At 43.6% G+C, this 20,565-nt stretch overlaps 2 protein-coding genes across 19 annotated transcripts in view, besides 1 other annotated feature; one reads left to right on the top strand and one right to left on the bottom strand.

The window, feature by feature from the left end:
* ABCC11 (ATP binding cassette subfamily C member 11) overlaps positions 1-20,565 on the bottom strand; it is an 82,721-nt gene that overhangs the window by 59,374 nt on the left and 2,782 nt on the right. For 4 of the 12 annotated variants that reach the window (XR_007064925.1, XM_017023799.3, NM_001370496.1 and 1 more), the window contains exons 1-5: positions 20,017-20,396; positions 7,631-7,747; positions 6,245-6,381; positions 3,614-3,772; positions 90-237 (exon numbers count right to left, since the gene is read on the bottom strand). Coding sequence is in view for 11 of the 12 variants with exons in the window: in XM_017023799.3 (XP_016879288.1) it covers positions 90-237; positions 3,614-3,772; positions 6,245-6,381; positions 7,631-7,729 (543 nt within the window). In the remaining variant the exon portion in view is untranslated. Of the gene's footprint in view, positions 1-89; positions 238-3,613; positions 3,773-6,244; positions 6,382-7,630; positions 8,080-10,939; positions 10,986-20,016; positions 20,397-20,565 lie in introns of those variants that run through there. The other 8 variants (XM_017023798.3, XM_017023801.3, NM_001370497.1 and 5 more) reach the window with 4 other exon arrangements.
* Positions 20,044-20,133: an enhancer, noted in NCBI's record as "active region_10791". NCBI's record gives its function as "activates an Ori minimal core promoter by ATAC-STARR-seq in GM12878 lymphoblastoid cells {active_cell/tissue: GM12878}" and the evidence as "EXISTENCE:reporter gene assay evidence [ECO:0000049][PMID:35858748]".
* LONP2 (lon peptidase 2, peroxisomal) overlaps positions 20,108-20,565 on the top strand; it is a 118,704-nt gene continuing 118,246 nt past the window's right edge. For all 7 annotated transcript variants that reach the window (NM_001348078.2, XM_047434738.1, NM_031490.5 and 4 more), the window contains exon 1: positions 20,108-20,429. In NM_001348078.2, coding sequence (NP_001335007.1) covers positions 20,197-20,429 — 233 coding nt within the window. In that variant the 5' untranslated portion in view covers positions 20,108-20,196. The remainder of the gene's footprint in view (positions 20,430-20,565) is intronic.

The raw sequence follows: 20,565 nt of genomic DNA on the forward strand, positions 1-20,565 counted from the left end.
TCCTGGCATGGACTTGAACATGCCCGCAGTTCCATCGCTAAACCTCTGAAGCCTAGAGTCCCCCAAACCTCACCAAGTCTGCCACTTACTGGCCCGAGTACACTGGCAATGCAGAAGCAGATGCCCAGAAGTGCATCGAAAATCAACCTTGTTCTCTGGAACCTCAGCATCACCAGAAGCACTGAAGCTTTTTCAATCCCTCGCCTTGAGACTTCTTCTTCCCAAAGGCGGTGAAGCCTTGAAAAGAGGATAATGGAACTGGTGGAATCTCTTTGCATGTGACATCCAAACATCCTAGTTCTTGCTAGCCAGGAGCTTTGTTGCAGAAATTTTCAAACATAACAGAATAGAACAATGTAGTAATCTTCTGAGTACTCATCCCCCTTTCCAGAATCAAAAATGTTTGACATTTTTGTTTCATGTCTCTTCCCTTTGACTTTTGTTTCCTGGAGGATTTGAAGCAAATCTCAGTCATCATATCATTTTATCTCTAAATGCTTCAGTATATATCTCTTTCAGATAAAGTCCTTTAAAAAACCATAGCACAGGGCCAGGCGCAGTGGCTCATGCCTGTAATCCCAGCACTTTGGGAGGCTAAGGCGGGTGGATCACTTGAGGTCAGGGGTTCGAGACCAGTCTGGTCAACATGGTGAAACCCCCATCTCTGCTAAAAATACGAAAATTAGTTGGCACGGTGGCATGCGCCTGTAATCCCAGGTACTTGGGAGGCTGAGGCAGGAGAATTGCTTGAACCCAGGAGGCAGAAGTTGCAGTAAGCCGAGATCATGCCACTGCACTCCAGCCTGGGTGACAGAGTGAGACTCCATCTCAAAAAATACAAAAAACAAACCAAAAAAAAAATAGTAACAATAAAATAACACTACAGTCGGGTGCCTGTAGTCCCAGCTACTCGGGAGGCTGAGGCAGGAGAATGGCTTGAACCCGGGAGGTGAGTTGAACCAGTGAGCCGAGATGGCGCCACTGCACTCCAGCCTGGGCGACAGAGCGATACTCTGTCAAAAAAATAAAATAAAATAAAATAACACCACAGTAACAATAATTACTTAATGGCATTTAATGCCCAGTCTGTATTGAAATTTCTCTAATTATTTAAACATGTCTTTATAGAGTTAGTTTCTCTGAATCAAGATCCAAACAAGGTCTAAAGGAGAAATCTGATAGAACTCTTGAGCTGCATTTTAATCTGTAAGCGTTTCCCCTTGTCTGCATTTCTATGCCATTTATTTGTTGGAGAAACTGATTTTTATTTATCCTGTAGGATCTCCCACACTCTGAACTGGACTGATTGCATCTCCATGGTGTTGTCTAACATAATTGTTGATCCCTTGTGCTTCCTAATAAACTGGTCACTAGACCTAAGGCTTAATGAAATCCAGAATTCCAGCCGTTTGGCAAAAAAAAATGTAAGAGGTGATGAGTGTACTTCCTGTCGCCTCACATCAGGAACCACATGATGTCTGGTGTCCCACTTTTAGGAATGTTGGTGGGGATCAGTGGGTTAAGGTGTGTCAGCCTGGCTCCTTCATTATCAAGATCTCCAACACTGATGACCATTGCCTAGCGCCACCTCCACTAGTGCTGGAAAAATGATGAGTTTTCTAATTCTTCCATTCCTTCTGTATTTCGTAGTTTGCGTATATAGTGAGATCTCATCTTTAAACAAAAAACAAAAACGGAGTGATTGCAAAAGTGTTTGTGGACAGACATTGTAAGTAACGAAATTAAAAAGAGAATCAGTGAACTGGAAGAGAATGGAAAGAAATCAGGAGATCTTGTACTCACAATGGTTAGAGAAGAACAAGCAAACTCAAATTGACTTAGCTGGTTACCTATTAAGCATCAAGTGTGTTTCCAGGTACATTATTATTATTATTATTATTTGAAATGGAGTCTCACTCTGTCACCCAGGCTGGAGTGCAGTGGCGCAATCTTGGCTCACTGCAACCTCCACCTTCCGGGTTCAAGCGATTCTCTGTGTACTTTAAAAAATGAATTTATCACCTCTTTTGTTTCTTGCAACAATCCTATGAAGGACCATGAAATAAATTTATGATCCACTTTTTTTTTTTTTTTTTTTTTGAGATGGAGTCTCACTCTGTTGCCCAGGCTGGAGTGCAGTGGCGCAATCTCGGCTTACTATAAGCTCTGCCTCCTGGGTTCACGCCATTCTCCTGCCTCAGCCTCCTGAGCAGCTGGGACTACAGAGGCACCCGCCTCCATGCCTGGCTAATTTTTTTGTGTTTTTAGTAGAGATGGGGTTTCACTCTGTTAGCCAGGATGGTCTCGATCTCCTGACCTCGTGATCTGCCCACCTTGGCCTCCCAAAGTGCTGGGATTACAGGCGTGAGCCACTGCACCCGGCCAATCCATTATTTTATACATAAAGACACAGGGCCCAGAAAGGGAAACTTGTCTGATATCATAGTAAGAGGTGAGATTCTGACTAATATCTGGCATTATCCAAAAAGTATTTCCTGGAACCATTTCTTTTTTTCTTACCAAATAGGTCTGAGAAGGAATGGGTCAAAGTTTACCCAGTTTCTGTACTCCATGTGAAAACATGTGCCTTCAATGTGTTAAGTTGCTTTGTAAATCTCCAACACCTGGCTATAACACAACATTTCACAAACTCCTCTGACTACTGAATGCTCTTTATGGGGAGGCTCTTATGAGACTATAATTTCCAGAACACATTTGGAAACTCATTTTCCACCTGGTATCTCTCATGAAGCAGCTAGAGGTAGGAACATGAATACAGGATCTTTAAAATCACATATTCATATTCTCCCACCTTTTGTCCTCATATTACCGTGTGTGGTGGGTGGTACAAGAAATTTAATCACACAACTAGTTAGCGGTGGCTTGAGCACTGGGAGACTGGGCCACTTACCCAAAGTAATACTCAGTGCCACTGTTGAATGCCTGATCCAGAAGAGAAAATCAAAAGGGACTAGAAGTGGTCATTTCTAACTTTCTTGGGACAGGTGTGGTGGCTCACACCTGTAATCCCAGAACTTTGGGAGGCCAAGGCAGGTGGATCACCTGAGGTCAGGAGTTCAAGACCAGCCTGGCCAACATAGTGAAACCCCATCTCTACTAAAAATACAAAAATTAGCCGGACGTGGTGGCAAGCGCCTGTAATTCCAGCTACTTGGGAGGCTGAGGCAGGAGACTCACTTGAACCCAGGAGGCAGAGGTTGCAGTCAGCCGAGATTGCACCACGCTGCACTCCAGCCTGGGTGACAGAGAAAGACTCCATCTCAAAAAAAAAAAAAAAATAGTGATAAAAATAAAAGAAAAAAATGAAAAATAACTTTCTTGGGTTCACAAGCCTTGTGGTAAGTCTGATAAGAGATGTGAATTCTTGCTCCAGAGAAAGATCTCCAGCCCGTATGTACAAAATATCCATACCATTTTAGGAGATTCATGAACCCCACGTTAAAAACCCTCACCTAGTATGAGGCCTCTTCCTACAGGAAGAGCCAAGTCGTCTGGCATGGCCCCTCCCTACCACCCTTAGGCATCTCTGGTCATTATCCCACCAAGAGATTGTCTTTTAACCTATCCACTGGTTTGCCCAGCGCAGCTTCACCTTTGGACATTTTTGTCTGAGGCATCATGGACTGACAGTGGAGGGATGGTGTTCTCATCTAAGCGACTCCGTAAGCTTTGGATCATGAGCGGGGTGAGCCATGACACGGTGAGGTAGGAGAACAGGCCAGCATTGTCCAGGGGCTGGGGGGCAGGAAACCTAGTAGAGGGGCCACAAGGATAAGAATGAATTCAGGATCAAGATTTTGCAAGGATGAATGACAACCATATTAAAACACAACGAGGTTACCCAGATCTACACACAAACATGTTTTCATGACTCTTATTTGTAAGTTGAAAATCATAAACAACAAAAGTGCCCATTAATTGAGGAATTATTTAAACAAAAAGAGAGAAATTATGATCTACCCATACTATAAAATGCAAATGCAATGTAGATGTTTGGGGTTTTTTTTTTTTCAATAAGGTTTGTTTATATGTAAAACACAGGAAGAGTTCCAAGCAAAAGCCAAAAAAAAGCCACTTGCAGATTAAAAACTCAGTATTGGCTGGGCCCAGTGGCTCATGCCTATAATCCCAGCACTTTGGGAGGCCGAGGAGGGTGGATCACCTGAGGTCAGGAGTTCGAGACCAGCCGGGCCAACATTGTGAAACCCTGTATCTACTAAAAATACAAAAATTAGCTTGGTGTGGTGGTGTGCACGCCTGTAATCCCAGCTACTCGGGAGGCTGAGGCGTGAGAATCGCTTGAACCCGGGAGGCACAGGTTGCAGTGAGCCGAGATCACGCCACTACCACTCCAGCCTGGGAGACAGCGCACGACTCCGTCTCAAAAGAAAAAAAAAACTCAGTATTTTTTTCACTTATATAAAAAAGGAAGAAAGGAGAGAAAGCAGACAAAACAGTATGTACATTTATATCACATTGCTGATAGTGGTTGACATTGAAAAAGGAGTTGGAGTTGACAAAGAAATAGGAAGAGAGGTCCTCAAGGCTTTAATTCTTCTGTGAAACTTTTACAAACAATAAAATTGAATACATAAATAATTAAAGATGATAAGGTATTACCTTTAAGAATGATTTACAAATACCAAAAATGACTAAATTAGGGTATTGGGATTATGTGTCATTTTTCCACTTTTTTTTTTTTCAAAATTGCCTTTAAGTTTATGTGTTTCAATGGGAAGAAAATGCAATTCGAAAAGAGACTTGAGGAGAAAGATGGGAAGATGAAAATGCCGAACTTATAAGATTTCTTTTGGGGGGTAGGGGAGAGGGACTATGACGTCTTTTCTCTACCCTTTCATATCCTCACAGCATTCTCAACAAGGCTGGCCACATGCCATTGCCAGGGATATTGGAGCAAGGAGCGGGTGAGGGGAGGGCAAGAGATTGTACCATTTGTGATCACAAAAGACAGGGCAAGACCTATGAGCCAGTGCTAATATCTTAAAGCCCCAACAGAAACAATATATTTATCTAAGATGAGGTTACCCAGGTGAATGAAAGTACCAAGGTTCTTTGTTCTTGGTGGAGATAACATAATTCAATATGGTAACAATGTAACTAGTATTGACAGAAGCTCAGATTTTAAAAATGGGCAAACAAATGCAGTTTGTTGATAGATAAAAATCTTAGAAAACATGTTGGAAATCAACTTGGTTACTCCCATAACCAAGGCTGGTAACTTTTTTTTTTTTTTTTTTTTTTGAGACGGAGGCTCGCTCTGTCACCCAGCCCGGACTGCGGACTGCAGTGGCGCAATCTCGGCTCACTGCAAGCTCCGCTTCCCGGGTTCACACCATTCTCCTGCCTCAGCCTCCTGAGTAGCTGGGACTACAGGCGCCTGCCACCGCACCCGGCTAATTTTTTGTATTTTTAGTAGAGACGGGGTTTCACCTTGTTAGCCAGGATGGTCTCGATCTCCTGACCTCATGATCCACCCGCCTCGGCCTCCCAAAGTGCTGGGATTACAGGCGTGAGCCACCGCGCCCGGCCGGCTGGTAACTTTAATGTGGCCTTTGAGAACCTGTCTGATCCGCTTGCCTCTGCAGCCTCACCTCATGCCACACCCACATCACACAAGACTCTCCAGTGACACTGGCCTCCTTCTTTCTCAGTTCCTGGACACATCATGCTGTGTTCCTTGCCCCTCCAGGCAAGGCTGTCCCACAGGCTGTTCCTTGATCATTCTTCTCCTACTCTTGCTTAGGAAATTCTTGTTCTCCCTCTAGGTGTCACTCAGCTTAAGCCACTCAGAACCTACCAAGTTGTCATGGTTCTCCGGTCCCTCAACACTCGCATACTTCTTCACAGCACCTTCCTCAAACAGCTTGTAATCATGTCATGCACAAGTTTATTTGCTTATTGTCTTTCTCTCCCATGTGAGGTCCATGATGGCAAAGATCACGTCTGTTTGCTCACTGTTCTTCCCCTGTGATGTAGCACAGTGCCTGGCACATGTAGGTGCTCAATGATCCTTTCTGTATGAATAAATAATGAATGAATGGCTATGACGATGTGCCTCCCTGGTGTGCCTCAGGCTGCTCTGAAGGGATTTGGCTGTGTAGGGATGTAGTTATGCAACCTTCGTGAGAGGTCTAGTTGGGAGGGTTGGGGATCATTGCCCTGGTGGATACAGCTCTCTCCCACCACCCCCATCAGGACTCACCTCGGCTTGGGACGGAAGGGAATCATGGTTCTCAAGGCAGCATCATACTTCCCCCACGGTGGGACAGCTGCCCTCCCTGGAGCCTCAGGATTTCTCTCTTGCTGACTCCAGGGGCCATCTTGGAGAGTATAGGTTTTCTTGGAAAAGAAAAACAAAAGAGCATCAGTTTCAAATCTCGTAAATTCTGTCCTGAGGGAATGTTGGACCAGCTGCCCATGGAGAAATGGATTTTTCCATATCCTGCTTCCTAAAGAAAGGCTTCCATACCGAGAATAAGCAGGGGACCGAGAGTCAGGGCAACTGGATCCCAGCACTCGCTCTGACCCACATTTGCTGAGTGAGTCTGGCCCAGTCACTCTACCTCTTTGGATTTTTATCTGACAGTAAACAATTTAGACAGGAATAAAGGGTGCCATAGTTAGTTACCTGCAGAATGAGGGACCAAGTCACTCTTTGAGGGTAAATCTACTAAAAAGAAACCAACAAGTAAAAAAGCAAATCCTAAAATATTATATGTTTCCCTTTTGACAACTAAAATAAAAGGACAGGTAATTTTTAGGACTTCATATAGAATAAATAATATATTCTATATAAAATAATACTTTTTAAAAGCACAGCAAGGATTGACAGAAAGAGATTCAGAATAGTGGTTACATCAGGTAGGAAGGGTTGGGGAATGACATGGGGGAAGACCAATTGCTGCGTGTGATTGCCAAGGTCCAAGCTGATGTATTGGTGATGGGTTTGCAGATGCTTATTATTATTATTATTAATATGAGTAAATGCATAGATAAATAGGTAATAGGTGATAGAGAGATAGATACAATCTAATCTCTATATAATATTATGCATAGAGATATGCATAAACCATGAAGGTATGCCATGATGATGGATTATAATTGATCTCATTGTGGAAGCCTGAGGTCTATTTGAAAAAAATCAAGAGTAGCTGGGTGGGGTGGCTCATGCTTGTAATCCCAGTGCTTTGGGAGGCCAAGACAGGAGGATGGAGGCCAGGAGTTCATGACAAGCCTGGGCAACATAGGGAGACCCCCATTTCTGTGAAAAATTTAAAAATTAGCTGGGCGTAGTGGTATGTGCCTATAGTCCCAGCTAGCTACTCAGGAGGCTGAGGTGGGAGGATCATTTGAACCCAGGAGGTGTCAGTGAGCTATGATTGTGCCACTGTACTCTAGCCTGGGTGACAAAGCAAGACCCTGAGTCAAAAAAAAAAAAAAAAGAGAGAGAGAGAGAGCAAAAAGAGAAAAGAAAAAAAATTCAAGGGTAAATAAGTATGGGAAGAAATTGTTTGACGTAATTTATGACCGTGGAGAATATTCTGCCAACTCAGTTTCCTGGTGTGCTGATGCTAAGAGATCTACTTACATAAATAAGTCCTGAAACCATGTCATCGCCTATGTCGATGCCACGATTCACGAGGCCACCAGAAGAGTTGGGCACCCAGTATGTCCTCTTCCTAGTCATTTTCAGTTCCTGCCAATTCTTCGTTTCCCAGAATCAGAGAATATGAAAAGACAGCAGGAGTTAGAAGAAGCTTAGATCTCGCCTTGAGCAGCCAGAAGAGGGGGCACTACCCTGCAGGGAGCATATTGGGGCCATGCAGAGGTTTGGGTGCCTGCTCTTTCCTCTCCTTAGCCTGTGCTTGATCCCTCTTTTTAAACATCTTCTCAGGCCTCAGGCCCAAATCACTTAGTGAAACCTTCTCTAACCACCCTCCCCAACCCACCCCCAACACCGCACCCTTGATCCTGGGCAATCTCCTTTGATGTATCAAACCCCTGCTCATAAAATCAGTCTTCTTGCTTTATCCCAGTCTTTAACTGTGTATTTGTTTGAATCATTATTTGTTCAGACTTCATTTATGCACTACACAGAGAGCCTCATGAGCACAGGGACATGTCTGCTTTCCTCGCTGTTGAATTTCCTGGGCCTGGAACGTGCTGGGAGGAGAGCAGGTGCTCAATAAATGAAGAATGAATGGACACATATGTGAATGAAAGAAACATCATTTTCCCTGCTTTCACTCTTGGTTTTCACAGACCCCAGAAGGAATCTGGGGACAAGTTAGGAGACTTAAATAATCAGGGTTCTTTTTTTAAAAAAAAAATATGACTTTCATATTTGTTTTTCTGAGTATGTGACTCACTCCCTGCTTGACTCAGAATATTCATGTGCCTGGGACAGGAGAGAAGGTAGTAATTAGGAATATTCTGAAGAGATGGAAAGAGAAAGTGTGCAGCAGAGCCAGGGCCATGAGGGTGCAGCCTGTGCCCCCCAGGGCCCCACACTCAGAAGGGCCCCAGGCTCAGTTGAATGCTTTTCTGTTGCCATCCTGAAATTCTTAATAAATTTGAACAAGAAGACCCACATTTTCATTTTCATTTTCATTTTGCACTGTTACCCACAAATTATGTAGTTGGTCCTGGTGTTCAGATATAGCTTTTACCATTCAAATACTGAGGCTGGGTATGATGGCATGCACCTGTAATTCTAGCACTTTGGGAGGCTGAGGCGGGAGGACTGCTTGAGCTCAGGAGTTTGAGACCAGCCTGGGCAACATGGCGAAACCCTGTCTCTACCAAAAATATAAAAAATTAGCTAGACGTAGTGGTGCACGCTTGTGGTCTCAGCTACTTAAGAGGCTGAGGCAGAAGTATAACTTGATCCTGGAAGGTGGAAGTTGCAATGAACTGAGATTGTGCCACTGTACTCCAGCCTGGGCAACAGAGCAAGACCCCATCTCAAAAAACAAAACAAAACAAACATTCAAATATTGGATTGTACTTCAAGCAAATAGACTGCAAGCTAACCCATTACTTTGTGAGAAGTTACTCTAGATTTCTTTGTCCCACTCCTTCCCATCCCACTTCCTTTTACCAAATCACAACCAGATCTGGTAGAGTCAGTTGCTGGAATTTTCCTACAGACCATATAAGATAGGCTTCCCAGCCAGGGCACCAGGCCATAGGCTTACTTGCCATGTAGTGGTAGAATGTGGACACTTCAGGGATGATAGAAAAGAGAAAAGAGAGAGAAGGAGGTGTATTAGATAAGAGAGAGTGACACACACTCTTTACAGCTCTGGGAGGAAGACTGGCTGCCATGAACCAGCCTAGAATATAGCTGCATTAAATTAAAACTGGCATGATTCCCTAGAATGAGGCCCTGTGGATGGGGCCACGGTATATTGCTGTATGATTTATTCACACACAAAGATCCCCAGTAAAGGGAATAGAGCAAGGGGTGGAGGCAGCAAATTTCAGAGTGCAAGTCTCATATCCTTGCAAAGGGCTGCCTCAGTGCTGTGCTCATAAACGTTTATATCTGTAACAAACCTGTGGTTGCAATTGGTGATTAAGTATAGTTCCAATGCTACTTGACATTTTGCTCTATGTTAACAAGTAAGAGGAAAGTGCAATACCAGAGATATATGTTGGTTGAATCTTCACTCATTTGCCAATGACCTGAGTAACTTTGCTGAATAGTTTTCAAATGCTGAAAGAATATTCCCTTATTTTATTTTACTACTCACAATGTAATGGCTACAGGCACCACACACTTGTACATTTAATCTGCATTATTAACATTTCCTACATTTCTTTCTTAAGACTAGACAATCAACAAAATGATAAATCCAGCCCTGATATGTAGCCTTTGCCTATTTCTGTGGTGTAAACACACCCATCATGGCCGATTTCGTGATGTGATACCAACATAACTCCACTGAATGCAGAGCTGGGAAGAGATGCGCAGCACGGCATCATCATATACTGTTTCTACCATAGAGATATAATAGATGTAAGTAACCTCAGAAGTATAAATAACAGCAAAAGGTAGCAAAATAAGTAGGAAATGATACATTTTGAGTATTATCTTTGTTTTTGATGTAATTTATTTAATTGTAAGTTTATATAATTTTTTTTTTATTAATGTTTGTGTTTAGCAGCTATGCTCTCAAAGTTCATGAAAATTTGACCGATGATTGTCATGAGGCAGTATGAACAGGTACTAGCCGACCACTGTGGCATCCATCTTGCGAGAGTGCTGCCTTTTCCTAAATCCTCGTCTTGCCGGGCACATCATTTTCCAATTCACTTCTAAGTGCTCTATGGGCTGTGGCTGGCTGTGCCTGGTGGTTAGCTTTCTTGGCTTCCCTGTGGTATAGATGGGAACAAGAAGTTGCTAAAAGTCTGGGTGAAGGGCTTCCCAGAAGTGTCATAGTGGACAACCCAGGTTGCAAACAGCTGAGAGTCATGGAGAGATCTTGGAGGGGGTTATGCTGCCAACAGAAGTGGGACAGGGGAGGCCTAGCAACTCAGAGAACATCCCCAGGTGAGTGAGCCAAAAAAGGATTACTGTGCAAGCCAAGATCCAGCTGGCTTGCAAAGACAGCAGGACAGGCAGTGAGCAAGTAGACAAAAGACCTCCCCTGGGAAAGCCTAGGAGCAGAGGTCACTGTGCCCAGGTTCCTGATTCTTTCTCTGCCAGGTGACAACTCCTAGACAGAGCCTTTAGTGAGAATTATTTGATAAAATGACTTAAATTATTGGCTCAAACAAGGTCTTAAAATGGTAAGCCAAAACATTTATTTTTCCCTCATTAACCAGCAAGTGGGGGATCATGAGGAAGACCAGATTTATAAAGACCAAGTAAAGAAATTAGATTTTCTCTCACCTTTCAGCTATAGTATGATTTGCCAACCTGGTTTATTCAAATACACCTGCAAAGAGAGGTAACGAAGGTTTCACAACTAGAGATGCAAAGAGATGCAAAGAGATGCAATGAGGGTTACTCATCACATTCTGAAATTACCATTTCTTTCCTTGTTGGCTTATTTGTTTTCTGCATACCTCATTAGAATGTAAGCTCTTTGAAACCAGGGACCTTGTCTGTCCTGTTCACAAATGTGTCTTTGGATCTAGAAGAGTGCCCAGCACATAGTGTGACTCTTTCCTATTCAAGATTCATCCAGGAAACTAACGACATGGAAAATGAAACCCAACGAAAATTAAGAAAATGCAAACATTGTAATAGTTATGTTTGCAGAACATCAGTCGCTCATCCCAAGCAAACGAGCTCGAGCTCAGCCACACATTAGCTTGGGCCTCCTTCCAGTTCCATGGGGCCCATCTCCACTTCCTGGACTGACCAGGGGAATTCCCTCCAGAACCTTCCTTGGCAGTCCCGGAAGCATTCCCTGGACTCCCAATTCTCTTTCCGGAAGAAAATGGAGCTGGAGTTTATTCACTCTAATTGGTGTAAGACCATCATTGTAGTCAGGATGGAAACCAGGACATGACTGGGAATAAAATAGAGAGGAAACAGCAGATGCTTCCAGCCCTGTGTTTTCCCAATCCCCAGAGGCAAAGGTCAGGATGACAAATTTGGTTTGGACGTGGGTTGTTTGCGTATGGTGAAACAGACTGTGAACAGGAGGGGAGCCACTGGAGCGGGGTAACCTGTATCATGGGCTTTCTGGAGGAGCTGATTTATTTCCATGTTCTTATGCAGCAGGGTCTAGTGTCCAAGATCAGAAGGTACATCAGTGGTTAAGGAAGTGTCCAGGGCAAGGAGCCAGAAGCACCTGCCAGCTGGGCCCTAAAGAAGTTTAAGTGATTAGATCTTACTCCTCCTGTACCTCGCCCTGTGCTATTTAACTTTCTCTGCTCTTAGGTTTATTTCCTTCTGTTAGTTTCAGTAGCTTCAGGAGGGCATCTTGTTGCCTGAAGAATCCCCACATCTCAGTACCTGGCCTTCTCCTCAATTTCAGAAGCTAGGATGATCCTCTCACCTTGATCTTTGCATTAGTCCTAATATCTGACAAGAATATTCTCCTCCCACCTCCTTGCAGAGCTGGTTCATTCTTGACATTCAGGACTCTACTCAAATGCCACCTCCTCAGAGTAACCTTCCCAGATCCCCTCTCTCCATACCACCTTCTGCATATTTTCCTAATCTACTTCCTTTACTCATCACATTCTGAAATTGCCATTTCTTTCCTTGTTGGCTTATTTGTTTTCTGCATACCTCATTGAATGTAAGCTCTTTGAAACCAGGGACCTTGTCTGTCATGTTCACAGATGTGTCCTTGGGTCTAGAAGAGTGCCCAGCACATAGTATATGCATAACAAATATTCAATGGATCAATGAATGAAGTACATGCAGAGTCTGTCAAAAAAGGAGCTAGGAAAGCCACACAGTCACGAAAGACTTCACATTTAAATTCTTGGTGTTCTCCAAAGTAGGCTGACACATCCCATCACAGAGATACAGTGACAGGATTGAAAGAGGGTTTTCATCAAGCAGGCAGGTTAAACTTGGGCCTATTCCCACACCACACCACATCTTCTATAGAGCAGCATTAATTTGTGTTTTAAAAACTAAATCCAGCCATTATTATGTGAACAGAACATTTATATAGTATTGTTTATTGTGGTTGTTGGGGCACATGTATGTATTAGGCCATTGATGCCTAGTGTTCCATTATGGGAATGCTAAGCATGTGAAAGTTATTTATATCCTACTGCTCAAGGTCATCACCGAGGTCTGATTGCAAAAATCCAAAAAAATTGCAACCTCCGGCATAAGTGGGTTAAAATTATTAAACATTAGTGTTTTAAAAATATACCATAAAGTTTGTAAGCTGGTTTTAGAAGTTCTTTGTTAAAACTCTGGAAGCCTGAATGAATGCAGCCCCTCCCCTCTTACCCTTGGAGAGACCCTTGATGAAAAGGTAAGCGCTTGGGAATCTGGGCCACATATGTTTTATCTCTGTACCACCCTCAGAATCTGTCACAAGGTAGGGCACATTGTACATATCCAGAGAAGTGAATGAGACCCTCATTATAGCCAGGATCTTCAGCTACTGGCTCAACCTCTCTCCAGGCCCTGGTGGCTTAGGCCCCAACCTAGGATAATCCTTCTCAACTGTTTTTCCTTAAATCTTCATGTCCAATCCATCAGCATATTCTCTTGAAGCTACAATCAAACATAGCTTGACAGCAACTGCTCCTAGTCTAAGTCATCACTTCTTGCCTGGACAACTGCAACCACCTCCTGACTGGCCTCCCTGCTTTTGATCTTAAATCCTTACGTTCCATTCTCCACATAGCAGTCAAAATTAACTTTTGAAAATATAAGCTAGATAATGTTATTCCTCAACTTGATCTCTCCCATGGCTTCCGTCAGGTTTAGAGTAAGACCCAAACTCCTTACCAGAGCCTACAGAGCCCTCTATAATCTGACTCTGCCCACCTTATTGCAACTGAAATCACTAGGTCCCAAGCTCAGACATTCCAGGAACAGGTTCCTCAAACACCCTAAATTCATTCTAGCCACAGGGTCTTTGCAAGTGCTGCTTTTTCTGCCTACAACAGTGCCCTTGGCCCCCACCCCCTAATCTTTGCATTGATTTATGCTTTCTCATACTGCAGGGCTCAGTTCAAATGTCGTCTTTTCAGAGACCTTCCCTGACCATCTAAAAGGCTTATTACTATCCAGAAATATTTTCCTTATTTCTTTCCTTGCTTATTGTTTGTTTTTCCCACTAGAATGTCAGCTTCATGAAAGCAGAAATCTTGTCTGTCTGATTCCCTGATGTATTCCCCATTACCTAGAATAGTGTCCAGCACATCATAGGTGTTCAAAAAATATTTTTAGTGAATGGTTATTGAAATGAATATTAAGCAATGTGAAAATGATGTTCAGTGAATGAATGAAAGAAGGTGGGATCCTGTCAGACAAAGAGCTTTAGGCAGGAGCTTCTAAGTTTCTATATTTGTGTCTCTCCCACAGCACCTAGTAACCTGATTTCTCTTTCCCTTATCTGTTGCACACATATAAACACACAGTTCTGTCTGCCCTACCTCATACTCAGATGTCTATGGGTCTGTTCCCCTGGCTGAGAGATGCTTGAGAGTAGGACCTTGTTTTGGGACCTGTCTACCCTTCTGCAATTAGCTCAGGGCCTGGCACTGAGAAGTCGCTTAACAAATAACTCTTGATATGAATGGACTTTCAACTCCTTCTGGAATTCTGAAAGCACTGCTGGACTTCACATTGGAGAAAATGTTCCACCTGCAACCTAAGGCCAAACCCAAGTCAAATCTCAACATGCAGAAATGGTCAAATCCAAAACAATTCAAGCAAAAAAAAACAAAAAAAAGATAATATTATCGGATTAGAATCCATAAAAACTAGGCCGGGCGCGGTGGCTCACGCCTGTAATCCCAGCACTTTGGGAGGCCAAGGCAGGTGGATCACAAGGTCAGGAGATCGAGACCATCCTGGCTAACACGGTGAAACCCCGTCTCTACTAAAAATACAAAAAATTAGCCAGGCTTGGTGGTGGGAACCTGTAGTCCCAGCTACTTGGGAGGCTGAGGCAGAAGAATGGCATGAACCTGGGAGGCAGAGCTTGCAGTGAGCCGAGATCTCGCCACTACACTCCAGCCTGGGCGACAGAGGAGACTCTGTCTAAAAAAAAAAAAAAAAAAAAAAAAACCATAAAAACTAAATATCTGTAAGACCATACTAACATTAAAAAGTAATTGAGTAAGTAAATAAATGGGGGAGATGGAACAGCTCTTTCTTATAGTAGAATTCTAAATAATAAATGTAAAATTACACCTACAACCACCTGATCTTCAACAAACTTGACAAAAACAAGCAATGGGGAAAGGATTCCCAATTTAATAAATAGTGCTGGGAGAACTGGTTAGCCATATGCAGAAAATTGAAACTGGACCCCTTCCTTACACCTTATACAAAAATTAACTCAAGATGGATTAAATGTAAAACCCAAAACTATAAAAACTCTAGAAGGGCTGGGCGAGGTGGCTCACGCCTGTAATCCCAGGACTTTGGGAGGCTGAGGCGGGCGGATCACGAGGTCAGGAGATCAAGACCATCCTGGCTAACACAGTGAAACCCCGTCTCTACCAAAAATACAAAAAATTAGCCAGGTGTGGTGGCAGATGCCTGTAGTCCCAGCTACTCGGGAGGCTGAGGCAGGAGAATGGCGTGAACCCAGGAGGCGGAGCTTGCAGTGAGCTGAGATCGTGCCACTGCACTCTAGCCTAGGCAACAGAGCGAGACTGTGTCACAAAAAAAAAAAAAAAAAAAAAAAAATCTAGGTAATACCATTCAGGATATAGGCACCGGCAAGATTTCATGATGAAAACAACAAAAGCAATTGCAACAAAAACAAAAATTGACAAATGGGATCTAATTAAGCTAAAGAGCTTCTGCACAGCAAAAGAAACTACCAGCAGAGTGAACAGACAACCTACAGAATGGAAGAAAAATTTTGCAATCTGACAAAGGTCTAATATCCAGAGTCTAGAAGGAACTTAAACAAATTTACAAACAAATTTAAAAACAAACAACCCCATTAAACAGTGGGCAAAGGACATGAACAGACACTTCTCAAAAGAAGATATTCATGTGGCCAACAAACATGAAAAAAAGCTCAACATCACTGATCATTAGAGAAATGCAAATCAAAACCACAGTGAGATGCCATCTTACACCAGTCAGAATGGCAATTATTAAAAAGTCAAGAAACAATAGATGCTGGCGAGGTTGCAGAGAAAAAGGAATACTTTTACACTGTTGGTGAGAGTGTAAATTAGTTTGACCATTGCGGAAGACAGTCTGGCAATTCCTCAAAGATCTAGAGGCAGAAATACCATTTGACCCAGCAATCCCATTACTGGGTACATACCCAAAGGAATATAAATCACTTTATTTTAAAGGTACATGCACACGTATGTTCACTGCAGCACTAGTCACAATAACAAAGACATGGAATCAACCTAAATGCCCATCAACAATAGACTGGATAAAGAAAATATGGTACATGCACACCATGGAATACTATGCAGCCATGAAAAGGAATGAGATTACGTCCATTGCAGGGACATGGATGGAGCTGGAAGCTGTTACCCTCAGCAAACTAACACAGGATCAGAAACCCAAACACTGCATGTTCTCACTTATAAGTGGAAGCTGAAGGATGAGAACACATGGTCACATGGCGGGGGAACAACACAATGTGGCCTGATGGGGGCAGGGGTAGGGGGAGACAGAGCATCAGGAAGAAAAGCTAATGGATGCTGGGCTTAATACCTAGATTATGGGTTGATCTGTGCAGCAAACCACCACGGCACATGTTTACCTATGTAACAAACCTGCACATCTGCACATGTACCCCAGAACTTAAAATATTAGGTTGGTGCAAAAGTAATTGCGGTTTCTTGCCATTACTTTTGCACCAACCTAATAAAAGTTGAAGGAAAAATAAATAAATAAATAAATATGAAATTATCTCCTTACATAATACTTACTAATTACAAAGAGAAAAATAGTAACTTACAGTGAAAAAATCTGGCAGATACCACCTTCACCAAGTAGTCAAGATTCAAATCGTCATTAATAAGACATTTCACCATCATATATCACATGGCCACAGCATCACTTTTTTTTTTATTTTTTGAGACAGAGTTTCTCTCTTGTTGCCCAAGCCAGAGTGCAATGGCCTGATCTCAGCTCACTGCAACCTCTGCCTCCTGGGTTTAAGCAATTATCCTGCCTCAGCCTCCCAAGTAGCTGGGATTACAGGCACGCACCACCACACCTGGCTAATTTTCTGTATTTTTAATAGAAACGGGATTTCACCATGTTAGCCAGTCTGGTCTCGAACTCCTGACCTCAGATGATCCACCCATCTCGGCCTCCCAAAGTGCCGGGATTGCAGGTGTGAGCCACTGCGTCCAGCCCACAACATCTCTTTCATGGTATTTGGCCCCAAAATGCATATCATTGATCTAATCGTGAGAAACAGTAGATAAACTCCAATTGAATGAACTTCTACAAAATAACTGACTGATATCCTTCAAAAGTATCAAGGTTTTCCCACTGCTCAACGAAATAAAAGAGGACACAAACAAATGGAAGAACATTCCATGCTCATGGATAGGAAGAATCAATATCGTGAAAATGGCTGTACTGCCCAAGGTAATTTATAGATTCAATGCCATCCCCATCAAGCTACCAATGACTTTCTTCACAGAATTGGAAAAAACTACTTTAAAGCTCATATAGAACCAAAAAAGAGCCGGCATTGCCAAGACAATCGTAAGCCAAAAGAACAAAGCTGGAGGCAACATGCTACCTGACTTCAAACTATACTACAAGGCTATGGTAACCAAAACAGCATGGTACTGGTACCAAAACAGAGATATAGACCAATGGAACAGAACAGAGCCCTCAGAAATAATACCACACATCTACAACCATCTGATCTCTGACAAACCTGACAAAAACAAGAAATGGGGAAAGGATTCCCTATTTAATAAATGGTGCTGGGAAAACTGGCTAGCCATATGTAGAAAGCTGAAACTGGATCCCTTCCTTATACCTTATACAAAAATTAATTCAAGATGGATTAAAGACTTAAATGTTAGACCTAAAACCATAAAATTCCTAGAAGAAAACCTAGGCAATATCATTCAGGACATAAGCATGGGCAAGGACTTCATGACTAAAACACCAAAAGCAATGGCAACAAAAGCCAAAATTGACAAATGGGATCTAATTAAACTAAAGAGCTTCTGCACAGCAAAATAAACCACCATCAGAGTGAACAGGCAACCTACAGAATGGAAGAAAATTTTTACAATCTACCCATCTGACAAAGGGCTAATATCCAGAATCTACAAAGAACTTAAACAAGTTTACAAGAAAAAATCAAACAACCCCATCTAAAAGTGGGCAAAGGATATGAACAGACACTTCTCAAAAGAAGACATTTATGCAGCCAACAGACACATGAAAAAATGCTCATCATCAGTGGCCATCAGAGAAATGCAAATCAAAACCACAATGAGATACCATCTCACACCAGTTAGAATGGCAATCATTAAAAAGTCAGGAAACAACAGGTGCTGGAGAGGATGTGGAGAAATAGGAACACTTTTACACTGTTGGTGGGACTGTAAACTAGTTCAACCATTGTGGAAGACAGTGTGGCAATTCCTCAAGGATCTGGAACTAGAAATACCATTTGACCCAGCCATCCCATTGCTGGGTATATACCCAAAGGATTATAAATCATGCTGCTATAAAGACACACACACACGTATGCTTACTGCGGCACTATTCGCAATAGCAAAGACTTGGAACCAACCCAAATGTCCATCAATGATAGACTGGATTAAGAAAATGTGGCACATATACACCATGGAATACTATGCAGCCATAAAAAAGGATGAGTTCATGTCCTTTGTAGGGACATGGATGATGCTGGAAACCATCATTCTGAGCAAACTATCGCAAAGACCGAAAACAAAACACTGCAAGTTCTCACTCATAGGTGGCAACTGAACAATGAGAACACTTGGACACAGGGTGGGGAACATCACACTCAGGGGCCTGTCGTTGGGTGGTGGGGAGTGGGGGGGAAGGGATACCATTAGGAGATATACCTAATGTAAATGACGAGTTAGTGAGTGCAGCAAACCAACATGGCACATGTATACATATGTAACAAACCTGTACGTTGTGCACATGTACCCTAGAACTTAAACTATAATAAAAAATAAAATTAAATTAAAAACAGAAAAAAAATAAAAGTATCAAGGTTGTAAAAAAAAAAAAAATTGGACGGGCGCAGTGGCTCAGGCCTGTAATCCCAGCACTTTTGGGAGGCCAAGGCGGGCAGATCACGAGGTCAGGAGATTGAGACCATCCTGGCTAACATGGCGAAACCCCGTCTCTACTAAAAATACAAAAAATTAGCCGGGCGTGGTTGCGGGTGCCTGTAGTCCCCAGCTACTCGGGAGGCTGAAGCAGGAGAATGGCATGAACCCGGGAGGCGGAGCTTGCAGTGAGCCGAGATCTCGCCACTACACTCCAGCCTGGGTGACAGAGCGAGACTCCGTCTCAAAAAAAAAAAAAAAAAAAAAAAATTGAGGACTTGCCACAGATTAGAGAACACCTAGGAGATTTCATAACAAAACACCTAGGAGATTTCACAACAGGATCCTGGATATTGGATCCTGGACCAGATCCAATGAAGGACATTAGTGGGAAAACTGGCAAAATTTGGGTAAGGCCTATAGGTTAAACGATAATAATGTTAATTTCCTGGTTTTGATCATTGAACTATGATTATGTAAGATGATAACAGACGAAACTGGGTGAAAGGTATATAGGAACTCTGCTGTAGTTTTGTACATCTAAAATCAATTCGGGCCGGGCACGTTGGCTCACGCCTGTAATCCCAGCACTTTGGGAGGCCGAGGTGGACGGATCGCTTGAGGTCAGGAGTTAAAGACCAGCCTGGCCAACATGGTGAAATCCCCTCCCTACTAAAAATACAACAATTAGCTGGGTGTGGTGGCGGGCATCTGTAATCCCAGCTACTCGGGAGGCTGAGGCAGGAGAATCGCTTGAACCCGGGAGGCAGAGGCTGCAAGCCGTGGGTATCGCGCCATTGCACTCCAGCCTCCGCGACAGAGCGAGAATCTGTCTCAGAATAAATAAATAAATAAATAAATAAATAATTAGTTCGAATCAAAAGTTAAAAACACTTCAAGTATATGTAAAAAATCGAAGAAAACGTTAAAAACACTTCAAGTATATACAATTCAAATAAGATCATCCTTCCAAATATACTCTGTAAGTGAGGCGAAGGTCGCTGCACGCTTGAGTGCACGTCTTTCCGCATAGGTAGGACGCTCAAGTCTTACCGGGAGGCTCTCCTAGAGAGCAGCGCGAAGCCATGGCTTTTGGGCCCGGGGACGGACCGTAGCGCGTAGCCGGAAGCGGAGGCGTGGAGGCGGGTCTGAGGTTTGGTGACTGCGGGGCAGGCCGGGGGCAGCTGTCTGTCTGGCTCTTTTTGACAGCCCCCAGTGCGAAAGGCTGCCAGCATGTCATCAGTGAGCCCCATCCAGATCCCCAGTCGCCTCCCGCTGCTGCTCACCCACGAGGGCGTCCTGCTGCCCGGCTCCACCATGCGCACCAGCGTGGACTCGGCCCGCAACCTGCAGCTGGTGCGGAGCCGCCTTCTGAAGGGCACGTCGCTGCAAAGCACCATCCTGGGCGTCATCCCCAACACGCCTGACCCCGCCAGCGACGCGCAGGACCTGCCGCCGCTGCACAGGTAGGCCTGGCTGCCCCCGCGGCGGCGGCGGGCGGCGCGGCCTCCTCCGGGGACCTGGGCCCAGGCCACGGCCTGCCTTGAGCGCGAGGCTCAGTTCGGGGCGGCCTTCGCGGCTCGGTTCCGCCTCTCTGGTGCT

The sequence above is a fragment of the Homo sapiens genome, chromosome 16, assembly GCF_000001405.40.
Source record: "Homo sapiens chromosome 16, GRCh38.p14 Primary Assembly".
Classification (NCBI taxonomy): Eukaryota; Metazoa; Chordata; class Mammalia; order Primates; family Hominidae; genus Homo; species Homo sapiens.